The sequence below is a fragment of the Homo sapiens genome, chromosome 6 (assembly GCF_000001405.40).
Source record: "Homo sapiens chromosome 6, GRCh38.p14 Primary Assembly".
Taxonomy (NCBI): Eukaryota; Metazoa; Chordata; class Mammalia; order Primates; family Hominidae; genus Homo; species Homo sapiens.
In genome coordinates, this window is record NC_000006.12 from 7,951,530 (window position 1) to 7,967,916 (window position 16,387).

The 16,387-nt window shown below is 40.9% G+C and overlaps 1 long non-coding RNA gene across 1 annotated transcript in view, besides 1 other annotated feature; it reads right to left on the reverse strand.

Moving 5' to 3' along the window:
• Window positions 1-16,387, reverse strand: part of BLOC1S5-TXNDC5 (BLOC1S5-TXNDC5 readthrough (NMD candidate)) — a 183,165-nt gene that overhangs the window by 70,280 nt on the left and 96,498 nt on the right. The gene's annotated exons all lie outside the window — the stretch shown is intronic.
• Window positions 12,153-12,202: an enhancer, noted in NCBI's record as "active region_23954". NCBI's record gives its function as "activates an Ori minimal core promoter by ATAC-STARR-seq in GM12878 lymphoblastoid cells {active_cell/tissue: GM12878}" and the evidence as "EXISTENCE:reporter gene assay evidence [ECO:0000049][PMID:35858748]".

Genomic DNA, 16,387 nt, shown 5'->3' on the forward strand with positions numbered 1-16,387 from the left:
TCACAGCATTGCTAAAAACTGATCAAGGCCCAACTGCTCCAGAATAAAACCCAAATTCCCAATCTCCAACCTCTGCCTCTTTTGGCTCTTCCTACTCCCAGCCATTCATTGTCAGTCCCAAGATACTGAAGTCCTCCAGGTTCTCTGAGCCGGGATGGTTCTTTTTCTCTCATTTCCAGTTCTTTTTGCAGGCTGCTGTCTGTCTACAACACCCCTTTCTTGTATGGCCAGCTCCTTCTGTGGGACTCAGTTGTTGACTTCCTCCAGGAATGGTCCCTGATCTTCTGGCCTCACTGTCGGGCAGACACTTTTCTGCTCTCTATCTCTTCACACCACTGGGAGACTATTTCATTGTCACCTGTTGATTGTCTATCTCCCTCCCGACAGCAGAAGCTCAGAAATAGCATAGATTATGTTTTCTTCATTTTTAAAAATTTTTGTAGAGACAGGGGTCTCACTATGTTGCTCAGGCTAGTCTTGAACTCCTGGGCTCAAGGGGTCCTCCCCGCTCAGCCTCCCAAAGCTCTGGGATTACAAGCATGAGCCACCGCATCGGGCCCTTCATTTTTGTTTCCCCAAGGCTAACACAATTCTGCCACTCTCCATAAAGATTTGTGAATTAAAGACAAAGGTGGCATTGTTTCCATTTCAAGGGGAAAAAGGCTCTTGCATGAGGGTGGAAAAGCTGCTTCTAGTTTACTACTTGTCCTTTTCCTTGTTAAGAAACAGCAATGAGGGGCAGGCAGGTGGCCCACCCCGTCTGCCCTTACATGGGAGAATAGCAGGCAGCTTTCACCTGAACGTGCCACAAAGGAGGGCTATGCGCAAGGGAGAGCCAGGTTTTAGGAAGCTGCTCACCCACCCCCATTTTAAAATTCTATCTTCCTTCAATTACCCAAATGTTTCTTGGAACTCTTAGTTATAATATAGTCAAGTATGGGTATATTTTACGGAGAGACCCTGAAAGGAAATCCATCAGAGACTGGAGAACTGTTCAGCAGGGGCACTTTGCAGCAGCACTGGGTATATTCAGCAGCATAAAATTTCCTACCATCCAGCCACCCAATAGGAATCTAGAGGAACTGAAAGAAAGGCAAACACCAAAAATATTAGTAAAAAATAATAAGAATTTGGAAAACCTGTATCTACCTTTCCCATGTATCTTGAAAACTGTTAGTAAAGATGTCTTTTTTTTTTTTGAGAGTGGGTCGCCCAGAATGGAGTGCAGTGGCGCAATAGTGGGTCACTGCAATCTCCAACTCTCCGGCTCAGTCAATCCTCCCACCTCAGCCTCCCAAGTAGCTGGGACTCCAGGCATGTGCCACTACGCTGGGCTGATTTTAAAATTTTTTGTAGAGATGGGGTTTTGCCAGGTTGCCCATGGCTGGTCTGGAATTCTTGGGCTCAAGCGATCCTCCCACTTCAGCCTCCCAAAGTGCTGGGATTACAGGCGTGAGTCACCGTGCTCTGCCTAGTAAAGATGTCTTTAAACATGGAAGCATTATAAATAACTAAAGCAACTTTAACTGCCGTTTTAAAGTTGAATGCTTAATTGCCACTGAAAAGAGCACAAGGAAGACTTTTTTCCAAGTTACTATCATCCTTTAACAGAAAAAAATTCTTTGTAAGGACTTGTAGCATATAGTAAGTGCTTGATACATGACTGACAAATGTTCTTGCTGAATATACATAAATAAAATATTGCTTTCAGTATTATATAGAGGGTATATATATGCTATAAACAACAGTAAGAATAAGTTTAGGACTACTAAATATTATTAAATATTAAATATAATCACTTAATCTATATTACATGTTGATAGTTCACACCACCCAGGTCATAGTTCATTTAATGGAATAGCATTTTTTTTTGAAAGTTAGTGAGAAAATAAGTTTATGCTTATTTTATCATCAATAACTTTCTTTATAAAATTGTAGGTATATTCTAACATATGATACAATTAGGGAAGTACAAATCATAGTAAAGAAGTAGACAAATTGGGAAAAGTCACATTTTTAATGAAAAACCTATTTGAAAAGCCATATCAATATTTATAACTCAATGTACAATACTGAGAGTTGAAATATTTTACCAAGAATTATATTCCCTTGGGCCCAGCTAAATCTACAGAAGCTGGAAAAGTGTCCTACTTCAAATTAAATTCATGATTTTATTTCTGCCTCAAGGCCAAAAAAAAAATCATTTTTAAGCCACAGGCTTTTAAACCACAGTCAAAGGACATGTATTGAATGCCATACATTGATGGCACTAGTTTTTTTAGCCTTAAAAATATTGTTACCCAAGAAAATATTCCTGGCTGACGCTAATTGATTTTTTTAAATGTGTAGGTACCAATATGAATTCAGGAAGCCCATTATAAATGACTCATGAGTAATAGGATATGGAACAAAATAAGACTCTCAGCTAGCATCCAAGGCAGACCAAAGTAAATACTCAACTACTTTCCCACCTTCTTAACTAACAGAGGAAATATGATTATTTCAATTTAGATAAGTTCACCAATGTACAGATGATATTTACCTTTTTTATTACAGCTTGATTCTGCAAAGAAGAAGGAACTACTATTGTTAGTCATCTACCAGTTAATTCCTTTTTTGAAGAACCCATAAATGAGTCTAATTGTTTATTAAAAAGGTAGGGAAAGGTACTCAAATATGCTTGGTTATAATTAGTTTGTTTTTTTTTTAACCTGCATTCTTGGTATTTTTGTGAAAACAATTGTTTTAAGTTTCCAATTACACTATATCATTTTCTCAAAGGGACAAAACAAAGTCATAAATATGGTAGCATATTTCAGAATAAAATCCAAATCATGAGGCCGGGTGCTATGGCTTGCACCTGTAATCCCAGCACTTTGGGAGGCTGAGGCAGGAGGATCCTTTGAGCCCAGGAGTTTGAGACCAGCCTGGGCAACATGGCAAGACCTCATCTCTACAAATAATAAAAAAATAAACTGGGCGTGGTGGTGCCCATTTGTGGTCCCAGCTGCTCAGGAGGCTGAGGTGGGAGGATTATTTGAGCCCAGGCATTTGAGAGCATGATGGTGCCACTGCACTCCAGCCTGGGTGATAAAGCAAGCCCCTGTCTAAATCAACCAACCAACCAATCAATCAATCCAAATTATGAGAGAACTGGAAATCATGAGTCATACAGAGGCTTGAGGTCAAATCTGCCTTTACCAGTATTCTTCCTGTTCTTCCTTTTGTCTCTCTAGAAGGAATTTTTACAGTTCTTCCATATTTACCCAAGACTATCATTTTCCTTGGTCTTAAAGATGAATTTCCTTTTGAGTTAAGGGAATATTAGAGTTGACCTCTTTAGTTTTTTATTTTTACTTTTTTTTTTAAGAGATGGGGTCTTGCTGCGTCGTGCAGTTTGGAGTGGAGTGGTGCAATCATAGCTCACCGTAACCTCAAACTCCTGGGCTCATGCAATCCTGTGTCTCAACCTCCCAAAGCACTGGGATTACAGGCATAAGTCACCATGCCCTGGAATTGACCTCTTTAATGTCCTCACTGCTTGATATGAACACTGCATATGATCTTGGTATTTTACCCATTGTTGCTGGACAGCAAGGACACATAGAGGATCTACATGCTCTCTTTGGTGTCAATGTTGAGAGTATCCAGAACCTTCTGGGGACTTTTCCAGGGATGGTAGTGGATACTGTATGTCTCAAGATGCCCACAGCTCCCAAAGGCATAAGGTCCCAAGATGTGATCTCCACATTCAGATATCCCCACACTGCCAGCTACACTTACTTCTCCTCCTAATCTTTCTTGATAATTCCTTAGCCACGTGTCTCAGAGCTTGCATGTTATGGTGAAGGAAGGGGCCTATGTAGAAAAATGTTGCGGTGTGGGTTTTAAACTATAAAAACGTTCATTAGGCATTTAAGCCTATAAAAACTTAATAGAATTATTCCTTTGAGCTGAAAAAAAGGCAACTGCATGGCCTCCCTGAGTGTTTTAAGTAGGTATCATGAGCCCAATAAAGCGTTCCACCATTTTGCCAGTCAGATGAGTTCCCAGCAACTCAGAATTTGTGGCTGCTGCAGAGGCAGCTCATGAGTGATGTCATTCACTCTGTGTACTAAATTAACTGATTGTTTACACTACTGAAAAATACCAGATAATCATTAAATCCATTTTCTTGTGGACATATAAACACTGAATACAAGAAGAATATCTCTTGTAATATCTAGTAATAGGCTAAAAATTGCCCAAGTCCTGGTGTTCAGAACTCTTTCTAAGAATCGATCCAACAAAAACAATCTTGGAGGCCGGGCACGGAGTCTCATGCCTGTAATCCCAGCACGTTGGGAGGCTGAGGCGGGCAGATCACCTGAGGTCAGGAGTTTGAGACCAGCCTGGACAACATGGTGAAACCCTGTCTCTACTAAAAATACAAAAAATCAGCCGGGTGTGGTGGCACACACCTGTAATCCCAGCTACTTAGGAGGCTGAGGCAGAAGAATCGCTTGAGCCCAGGGAGGCGGAGGTTGCAGTGAGACAAGATCGTGCCATTGCACTCCAGCCTGGGGCACACAGAAAGACTCCGTCTCAAAAAAAAAAAAAAAAAATTCTTGGAGGTAACAAAATATTTTCTTCCTTGTTGGGTTTTGTTTTGTTTGTTATTGCAAACAGTACATGTCATCAACAGTATTTATTATAATAGCAAAAAAAAGTTCAAAAAATAAAAAATTTGATTAAATACATTTATTTAAAATATTATGCAGTTACTTAAAGTGGTATCTTAGTAGAGTATTTAATGAAAAAAAAGTGTCGCACAATTTATTAATTTAAAAACTGCCAGGAAACACATCAGAGCCTGAGCCCATTAATTACATGAGACATTGCATGTGAGAGGCTTATATCATGCTGAGATGTTACTGTTGCTCATGCACATAAATGTTTATTATTGTAGATTATAAAAGGCTGGAAGGCATATACTGAAACAACAGTGGTGGTGTCTGAATGATAGGATTATGAATAATTTTATTTTCTTCTTTTTGGTTTGTGTATTCTAAATTTTCTACAATGAATATGTAAAACTAAAACACTAATGAAAATGACTACTCCTCAGGACTGTATTTTTATACAGGATGCCCAACTGAGATTCCTTTTTAAAAGTACTTGGAGCTGCTGAGCGTGGTGGCTCACACCTGTAATCCCAGCCCCTTGGGAGGCCGAGGCAGGCAGATCACCTGAGCCCAGGAGTTCGAGACCAGCCTGGCCAACATGGTGAAACCCGTCTCTACTAAAAATACAAAAATTAGCTAGGCATAGTGGTGCATGTCTGTAGTCCCAGCTACTCGGGAGGCTGAGGCACGATAATTGCTTGAACCCAGGTGGTGGAGGTTGCAGTGAGCCGAGATCATGCCACGGACTCCAGCCTGGGTGACAGAGCGAGACTCCATCCCCCCCACAAAAAAAAAAAAGGACTTGGAGCTAATTTATATATATCAGTGTGTGTGTGTGTGTGTGTGTGTGTGTGTGTGTGTACTTGGATCTAATTTATATATATCTGTGTGTGTATACACACACACACACAGATATATATAAATTAGCTCCAAGTACTTTTTTTATACATACTGTTTTTACACATACTTTTACAGTGTGTGTACATATATACACACACAGATATATAATATATATAAATTATAATGTTTATTAGAAATAAAGTTTCAGAATAGATATTTACCATTTATCTTGCAAAGGCAAGATAAATAAGTTTGATATTTTTAATAAGAAGGAAAAAATAAAAAGCTTACTTGTAGAATGTGTGAGAATATTTGAATTTCATATGGCATCAGATTACTGTTTTCCTCTCAAAAAAGTCTGTATCTTCTGAACAAACTAAACCGCATATTAATCACATTACAAATTTTTTGAGGGCCGGAATTATTTCTTATTGGCTTTTGTATTCTAAGAACTTGGTCCCAAACAAATACTCTATATTGATCAAATGAATATGTTAACAAAGACTTAAATACGTTTTAGACAATCTAATTTTCCTACTACGTAACTATTAAAATACCCTCATCTACATTAAGAAACATTTATCTCTAGAAAAAAACTTGTAAGTTGGACAAACCAAGAGGATAGACTGTGTAATGGAATATTATTCAGCCTTAAAAAAGGAAAGAATCCTGTCATTTATAATAACGTGGATAAACTTGGAGGATGATATACCAAGTGAAATAAGCCAGACACAGAAAGACAAATATTGCAAGATATCACTTTTATGTGGAATCTAAAAAAAGTCAAACTTAAGAAAACAGAGAAAGGTCATTTCCAGGGGCTGGGGGAGGGCGGAGTAAATGGGGAGAGGTTGACGGAAGGGTATGAACTTCCAGTTAATGAGTAAGTCCTAGAGCTCTAGTGTGCAGCATGGTGACTACACTCAATAATACTGCACTGTGTACTTGAAATTCACTAAGAGACTGACCTAAAGTGTTCTCACCACACATACAGAGAATAACTATCTCAGGTGATGGGTATGTTAATTAGCTTGTTTGTGGCAATTATTACATAAGATATACTTACATCAAAACACCATGTTTTACACTTTAATTTTCTTTTCTTTTTTTTTTTTTTTTTTTTTGAGACGGAGTCTCACTCTGTTGCCCAGGCTGGAGTGCACTGGCACAAGCTCAGCTCACTGTAACCTCTGCCTCCTGGGTTCAAGCGATTCTCCAGCCTGGGCCTCCTGAGTAGCTGGGATTACAGGTGTGCACCACCATGCCCAGCTAATTTTTGTATTTTTAGTAAAGATGGGGTTTCACCATGTTGACCAGGCTGGTCTCGAACTCCTGACCTTGTGATCTGCCCGCCTCGGCCTCCCAAAGTGCTAGGATTACAGGCGTGAGCCACCCCATCTGGCCAATTTTCTATTTTTCAATCATATCTTAATAAGCCTGGGGGGGAAAGGATAGTATTTAGAAAGTGGCTTCTATGGGCTGTTTACCACTGTCTCCTTCTATGGAACCAAGAATATAATTGTATAATAGAAGTTTAAATGCTTTGGCTTTGGGTGAATTGGCCAAAGGTAATGCTTGTGACCACAGGTTAGAGTGTTTCCTCTAAACCACGAGAACTGACCTGAAAGGAAACAGACAGGGAATCCTTAGTCTGTAACCAACTGAACCAGCCAAGCAAGCTCACCAGTGCCTGTCAGCCTCAGTGGCTGAGAACTACTATGTGTCAGGTCATTGAGATAACCTGCAACTTGCCCACAATAGAAGGATGGGGCCACTTTTTACTCTCCTTTTTATTTTATTTTTTAAAGTTTTTTTTTTTTTTGAGATGGAGTTTCGCTCTGTCACCCAGGCTGGAGTGCAATGGTGCGATCTCAGCTCACTGCAACCTCCGCCCCCCAGGTTCAAGCGATTCTCCTGCCTCAGCCTCCCGAGTAGCCGGGATTACAGGCGTCGGCCACCATGCCCGGCTAATTTTTGTATTTTTAGTAGAGATGGGGTTTCGCCACATTGGCCAGGCTGGTCTCCAACTCCTGACCTTAGGTGATCCACCTGCCTCAGCCTCCCAAAGTGCTAGGATTACAGGCATAAGCCACCGTGCTCGGCCTCTGCTTTTTAAATGACAATGGTTTTGGGGACCGTATGTTCCTTGAGTGAAACATTCCTTATAAGCAGCCTACACCATTCACCGCCACGTAGTTGTGGATTTTAGCATCCTTCCATGTGCACAGGCTTCTCCTGCCTTCAGGAGTTCACATCTGAGTGGAATCTACCCCGGTAGGTCCCCGGAAAGGTTCAAAAGCTCCTCTCAGAGCAGGAAGTTATCAACTCCGTAATTTCCCAGGCTAATTTTACAGACTAGTCTTAGGAAGCGCTTGATGTTGACAGCGACCATGTGGCTTTCTTACTGAAAACCCAAGTGCCCAGTAAATAAGCTCAACTACAAAGTAAAGAAGAAACGTGGTGCTCAATTCCAATGATTCAAAAGTTTAACCATTGCTTTTAGGAGTTAATCACTCAATGACATATTTCCTTTCCTAAATAAACATTGACTTTTTGACATCTGGTGTTGGATCTCTTATGTATATGGGTATGGCTCAGTTCCTGGAGAGAGTAGAGATAGTGACACAGAATGGGCCATCAGGCCACACCTCAGTGTACTTGCCACTAGGACGTTAATAAGGGATGCACAGTAGTGTCACAGATTCCAGCCCTGCAAGTAGGGCCACGAGAGGAAAAGTGGTTGCTCTTTGTTTCATCGTCAATATTCAATATAAGAAAAATGAGCTGGGCATGGTGGCTTATGCCTGTAATCCCAGCACTTAGGGAGGCCGAGGTGGGTGGAGTTTGAGACCAGCCTGGCCAACATGGCGCAACTCTGTCTCCACTAAAAATACAAAAATTAGCTGGGCATGGTGGCAGATGCCTGTAATCCCAGCTACTCAGGAGACTGAGGCAGGAGAATCACCTGAGCCTGGGAGGCGGAGGATGCAGTGAGCCGAGATCGCACCACTGCACTCCAGCCTAAGTGACTGACAGAGACAGACATTGTCTCAAAAAAAAAAAAAAAAAAGATAAATGGTTCTTAAACATGAGAATGGCAGGGGAAGTTGGAAAGTTTTGTTGTAGTGAATACAGATTTGATTTGGTTACTCCACGAGAGTCATTTTAGCACCAAGTATATTAAATGATGACATGAAGAAGAGCTTCATATGCTGAAGAGACAACTGACAACCCGAACTTCCACAGGTTCTCACCTTCTGTGGCTTATTATAGCTCATTTTCCTTTCAGATCTTACAATCTCCCACTTTAGGAACTGAAATTCTTCGGAATTTCCTGTGATTATGTTTTCTAGTGTTACGGGAAGGAAAGTTATCTTTAGGGTTAGACAACATGTAAAGTTGAATACTGAATTCAACAGAGATCTTAAAATACAAGTCCAGGAATGAAAGGGATTAAGAATGTACACTGTGTATAGTTAATGTAGACTATAACTAGGTTCATAAAACAATTGTAAAAATTGTCTTTGAAGAGAAAGTTTATTAACTTCATTTTAATATTCACAATACAGATTTGAGACATTTTATGGGAGAAAAACCACAAAGTTCTAATCCTCCTTAAGAACTAGGATGTGTCTCTTCATTGCTCACAGGCTGCGAATTAAGCTTTCAATTCATTCAACAGTGAGTACCTACTATGTGCCAAAAAATGTTGCCAGCAGTGGGAATGTTCCAGAGAATGCCCTTGTTCCCATGGGGTTTACAACCTAGTGAGTGAGACAGTTAATGTACAATAAAGAAATAAGTACAAGATCTTTATACAAGATTATAAGATTAGGCAGTGCCGAATGTTAAAAGCAAAATAAAACAGGGCAGCATACATTTATCTAGTATAGTTGCTGCTTTGGCATCCATTTTGGGCCTGCGGTAAGTTATTGAAACCCAGTCGTACCCTATCACCTTTGGTCTAGTTAAAATGTTCCCTCCCTGTGTGGTTGTTTGTGAAACAGCCTGCTTGCTCTTCACCCCACAGCTGCTGACCACAGTAAAACCTAATGATCAACACCAGAGTGATGTAAGTTCCCCCTTTTGCACATTTTTAAATTTAACTAATTAATTAATTTGTTTGTTTGTTTTTTGAGATGGAGTCTGGCTCTGTCACCCAGGCTGGAATGCAGTGCTGCAATCTCGGCTCACTGCAACTTCCGCCTCCCAGGTTCAAGCAATTCATCTGCCTCAGCCTCCCAAGTAGCTGGGATTACAGGCGTGCACCACCACGCGCTACTATTTTTTTTTTTTTTTTTGGTATTTTTAGTAGAGACGGGGTTTCACTTTGTTAGCCAGGCTGATCTCGAACTCCTGACCCCAAGTGATCCACCAGCCTCGGTCTCACAAAGTGCTGGGATTAGAGGCATGAGTCGCCGTGCCCAACCACACGTTTTTTTAAATTAGCCAATCCACAACCCCCATGGGAAACCCTAAGGGATAAGGTCCACGGATCTTAATAAAGGCATAATCCCACAGGTCCTCTCTCTCTCTCGCTCTCCCCTCTCTCCCTTACTCCCCACTCCCTCTCCCTGGTTGAGCTCTCTGACACCCCTGGACTTTTCCTTAGCCTCCTGTTGGCAGCTCTGACCTTTCCGGGATCTGTAAGTTATACAGTTCTTCTGTTTCAGCCATTTTGGTTTCATTCCCTCATTTTGTCTCACTTGATGGACACAGGTGAACCTAGCTCCCCCACCCCACGCTGTTAGGGCTCTCCCAGAGAGTGGCTTCTTGGTTTTTGGCGTGTGTGTGTGTGTGTGTGTGTGTGTGTGTGTGTGTGCCGCAGTCTCGCTCTGTCACCCAGGCTGGAGTGCAGCGGCGCGATCTCGGCTCACTGCAGCCTCCGCCTCCCGGGTTCACGCCATTCTCCTGCCTCAGCCTCCCGAGTAGCTGGGACTACAGGCGCCCGCCACCACGCCCGGCTAAATTTTTGTGTTTTTGGTAGAGACGGGTTTTCACCGTGTTAGCCAGGATGGTCTGGATCTCTTGACCTCGTGATCCGCCCACCTCGGCCTCCCAAAGTGCTGGAATTACAGGTGTGAGCCACCGCGCCCGGCCAGGTTTTGGCCACTCTCAAAAGTGGAGACCTCAAAACCAAATTAGAAAGAACCACGGCGATGGAACTCACGACACAGGGTAACGGGATAAAGAGAGAAAGGGAGACACTTCAACATCCCTGTATTAGCCTTGACGGCTCAATTCATCAAAAAATACAGATTGAATATATAAGAAATACATATAAAAATGAAAAATATAATTAAAAGTACACATTATTTCATCATAACTTAAAAAATTAAAAGCTAATTAAAAATTTTTGGTTAAAAAGCTATTTAGAAAATGTTTAAAAACTCAATAAGTGGTTAAAGGAGAAAATTAACACTATAGTTACAATTATTTAGAAAAAATATGAGAAAATGTAAGTAAAATTATAGGAGACAAATTTTGCTCCTTGAGGCAAAGATTTTCACAGATTTCCCAAAAATAACATAAAAATCACTTACCATAAAAGAAAAATTTGATAAATTGGACTTCATCAAAATTAAAAACTTTTGCTCTTCAAAATAAACTGTTTTTTGGGGAGCTGAAGGAAATGTGCATTATCTTGATTGTGATGATGGCTTCAATGGTGTATACATGTCAAAACTCATCAAATTGTACACCTTAAACATATGTAATTTATTGTGGTCAACTATGTGTCAATAAAGTTGCAATGAAGAATTGGAAATAAAGAATTGGCAACTAAATACTTTTTTTTTTTTTTGAGACAGGGTCTCGCGCGGTCACCCAGGCTGGAGTGCAGTGATGCCATCATGGCTCACTGCAACCTCTGCCTCCCGGCTCAATTGATCCTCCCCTTCAAACTCCCCAATAGCTGGGACTACAGGTACTTGCCACCATGCCTGGCTAAATTTTGCTCAGTACAACTTTTTAAAACATGAACTAATTGTTGAGAAAATTAAAAGGCAAGCCATCAACCAGGAGAAAATATTTGTAATTAATGAGTCTGGCAAAGCACTTAAATTTAGAAAATATAAATAACTCTTACTATTCAACGATGGAACAAACAACACACAACCACACAGCCCATAAACTAAAGAGATCGGCACTACCCCCCGAAATGTACAAATGACCAAAAATAACATGAAAAGATGCTCACTATCTTTAGTCATCAGAGAAATGCAACTTAAAACCACAAAGAGATACCATTATACCGAACCGAGAACAGCTAAAAATAAAAAGACTACTAATAATCTCATTTATATACAGAATCTAAAACAAAAACCAACTCATAGAAACAGAGAGGAGAATGGTGGTTGGCAGGAGTTGTGGGTGGGGAAATGGGGAGATGTTGGTCAAAGGGTACAGAGTTTCACTTACAAAATGAGTAAGTTGGCCAGGTGCAGTGGCTCACACCTGCAATCCCAGCACTTTGGGAGGCCAAGGCAGGCAGATCACCTGAAACCAGGAGTTCAAGATCAGCCTGACCAACATGGTGAAACCCCATCTCTACTAAAAATACAAAAATTAGCTGGGTATAGTGGTGCACGCCTGTAATCCCAGCTACGTGGGAGGCTGAGGCAGAGAATCGCTTGAACCCAGGAGGCGAAGGTTGCAGTGAGCCAAGATCACAAGATCACGTCACTGCACTCCAGTGACTCTATCCCAAAAAAACAAAGCAAGTTCTAGAGACCTAATGTACAGCACAGTAACTGTAGTTAATAATAATGCATTATATGCCCGTAATTTGCTAAGAGAGGAGGTCTTAAGTATTCTCACTGCACGAGCACGCACGCACACACACACCCCCAAAAAGGTAACTATCTGAGGTGATGAATATGTTAATTAGCTTGTGATAATCATTTCACAATGTATACATGTATCAAAAATCATGTTGTACAACTTGAATTATATAATTTTTTATAAATTATACCTCAATAAAGTTAAAAAAACAAGGTTCAAGTTATAAAACATAGATATGTATAAGGATGTGAATATGTATATAAGCAATCAATATAGGAAAAATACATATACACAAATATATGCACATATACATTTCCTATTGAAAAGATGATGGCACCACATCCCTCTGTCTTGTCAAGGCAGTGCTTAGTTAAGAACACACCCCATCTACCACCAGGCAATTCAGTAAAAACAATGAGTGCTTTGTTTTTATGATGAGAAGGTAATGTATATAGTCTGCCACAATAATTTTCTGCTGTCTGCTTTTTTCATACTTAACAACTACTCTGATAACTCTTTCTAGAACATTCTCAGAATTAGCTCTAACCAAGCTCTAGCCCAAATGCCACTTTTACCTCTCAAATAAACTGCTTTTCCTACAGCCTGGACATCAAAAAAGTCCAAATAAGTGACCAAGAAATGGAAGAACACTTTTGAGTGACTGAGGAAGGGAAGAAATTAAATGAGCCAAGTCAGAACTCTCTGTAGGGTGAAGGTGAATGGGAAGCGTTGGGAAAAATCATTAGCACTTTTATGAAATGTATACATTTAAGATTATTTGTTGTTTTTGCCAGACTCCTTCCAGGCAAAGCATACATTTATAAATGTTTAAGTGTATTTTTTTTAAGTTCATTGCAGCTATAGAAATTGTTCCATAATGTGGAAGCCCCTGCCAAGTTTCCAGCTCTCAATTTCCCGAGATGTATAATTATATTATTATTATTATTATTATTTTTTGAGTTGGAGTCTCACTCTGTTGCCCAGGCTGGAGTGCAGTGGCGCGATCTCGGCCTACTGCAAGCTCTGCCTCCCAGGTTCACACTATTCTCCTGCCTCAGCCTTCCGAGTAGCTGGGACTACAGGCGTGTGCCACCACACCTGGCTAATTTTTTTGTATTTTTAGTAGAGACGGGGTTTCACCGTTTTGGCCGGGATGGTCTCGATCTCCTGACCTTGTGATCCACCCACCTCGGCCTCCCAAAGTGCTGGGATTACAGGTGTGAGCCACCGCACCCGGCCAGAATTATATTATTATATTATTTCGATTAAATGATTTGACTCTGTTTCTTCTGTATTAATGTTGATGTATCTTTCAGTGCATACTTGATACTTAAAAAAAAGAAAGACTACCAATACCAAGTGTTGGCAAGGATGTGGAGCAACTGAAACTCTCCTGTACCACTGGTGGGGATATAAAATAAAACATCCATTTTGGAAACGTTTGGCAGTTTCTTACAAAGTTAAGGATGCACTTAACATATCATTTAGCAAATCTGCCCCCAGGATTTTGCAAAAAAGAGATGAAAACACATCCACAAAAGACTTGTCTATGAATATTCACAGCAGCTTAATTCAAAATAGCCAAAAGGTGGGAAACAACTCAAACATCTATCAGTGAGTGAATGAATACACAAGTTGTGGTATGTTCATACAGTAATAAGATGCTACTCAGCAATAACAATAAAAGAACTGTTGATATACAGAACAACATAGATGAATCTCAAAAACAGGCTGAGTGAAAGAGGTCAGATACAAAGATTCCACTTACGTATGCATGATTCTACTTCTAGCAGCTTTCTGGATGGATGGAAATGTTCTGTACCTCGACTAGGGTGCTGGTACGTGGATTTATACATTTGTCAATACTCATCAAACTCTTAAGTGTACACATCTTATTGTACATAAATTATACCTCAATAAAGTTTATTTAAAAACACAAAAAGCAGCCATTCTGTTGCAGCTCATTGTGTAGGAAAGACATGTACACAATTTTGATGTGCTTATATTAATTACAGTGCAAACCGTGTTAAGAGCGCAAGCATGAAGAATATAAGTACACACCTTCATATAGCCACATCCACAGATTTTCACTTGATATATTGACTTTAAAAACATTTTGAGTCTTTGCTTAAAATTTTTCAGATACTCAAAATGGATAAAACTGGAAGACAGGTTAGGTTTTGGTTATTTTAACTATTAGTAAATCCACAAATAATTTATATTAGGCACCTGCTATGGTCTGAACATTTGTGTGCCCCCAAAATTCCTGTGTTGAAGCCTAATCCCCAGTGTGATGGCATTAAGAGGTGATTAGGTCATGAGGGGGATTAGTGCCCTCATGAATGAGACTAGGGCCCTTACAGAAGAGGGGGCTTGTTTGCCCTTGTATCGTATGAGGGCACAGCAAAAAGCCACCATCTGCAAACACTACTCTCACCAGACACTCAATCTGCTAGTCCCTTGACCTTGGACTTCCAGCCTCCAGAACTGTGAGAAATAAATTTGTGTTGTTTATAAGCCACCCAGTTTATGGCATTTTGTTGTAGCACCCAAACTTACTAAGATTAACACCATAATAAAAACCAAAAACGTGGCTGCAGGATGTCACGGTGGCTGGGAAGGTGGATTCTAATACTGGGTCCACCATACTGGCTGCACGGCCTTGGGCCAGCTATGAAATCATTCTGAGCTGTAGCTTCCTACTTTGTAAGTTTGTGAGGGCTAAATTAAATGAGAAAACCTATGTAATGCTTTTAAAACAGTGGCTGTTGGCCAGGTGTGGTGGCTCACACCTGTAATCCCAGCACTTTGGGAGGCCGAGGTGGGTGGATCATTTGAGATCAGGAGTTCGACACTAGCCTGGCCAACATGGTGAGACCCCGCCTCTACTGAAAATACAAAAATTAGCCAGGCTTGGTGGTGGGCACCTGTAATCCCAGCTACTCAGGAGGCTGGGGCAGGAGAATCTCTTGAAACTGGGAGGTGGAGGTTGCAGTGAGCCAAGATCATGCCACTGCACTCCAGCCTGGGTGACAGAGCGAGACTCTGTCCAACCCCCCGCCACCAGAAAAACAGTGGCTGTTATTAAATAAGCCCTCAACATAAATATGTAATGCTATTACTGTTGTCTCGGGACATTTGGATGAGTTCTGTCTGGGAAGGCAGATACTCCTAGTACAGTCCTATGCCTGCCCTTCCTGAGTTTGCAAGTACAGAGAAAAATACACAGGAATTACCACCCCCCATCAAATATATATATTCAGATCCACACACGCACCATCAATGTCTTTAGGAATACATAACAGGAGTACCATACAGCTAAACTTCTCAGGTGGGAGTATCACCTAGTGGATACCATCCCAGTATTCCCATCAGAGGAAAAGGGGCCAAAAGGGATCAGGATTGAAGGGAAGAGGGAGGTTGAAAGCAAATGAGAGGGCACTGAAAGAAGAGGGTTGGAGCATCACAATTTGAGAGACAGAGACAAATTAGAATTCAGAAGGAGGACAAGCAGGTTGGTGAGGGAATTTGAAAAAACTTGATATAAAAATCTTCACTGAAATCAGTGTGTTCCATCTAGGGATATGACACATGAAAGATTCTGTAGCCTCTCTACTCGCTATGCCTCCCATCAGGCGCACAAATATTTCCAGTGCATAGAGAGAAATTTCAGCCCAATAAAAGAAAGAACTCTCTAATAGCCAGAAGTGTCCAACATTGGAACCAGGAGCCCCAGGAGTGAATGAACCTGCAACACTGGTGGGGGGCTCTACCCGGAGCCTTAAGTCCCTGTTGATAGAGCAGTCTTGGGAATTGCTGGCTTGTTTATTTCTACTTCTTGCACTGATACTATTCTCTTGAGTGTAATACGTTTTCTACAGGCAACTTTTCATTATCTACGAGCAGGCTATTCCTGATGAGTGGTTAATGAAGTCTTTATAGAGCAGGCGATACCCTAGTAGTATAGCTAGGGTAGTGTTCTGGCTTGGGAGGCAATTCCTGTTGACTTTCTAACTTCCTGTGTGAATTCATCGGGGTATAGCTATCAGTTTGGCAGGAGCTTGAAGGAGAAACACCTGAAAGGAATCCCAGCTTATCCT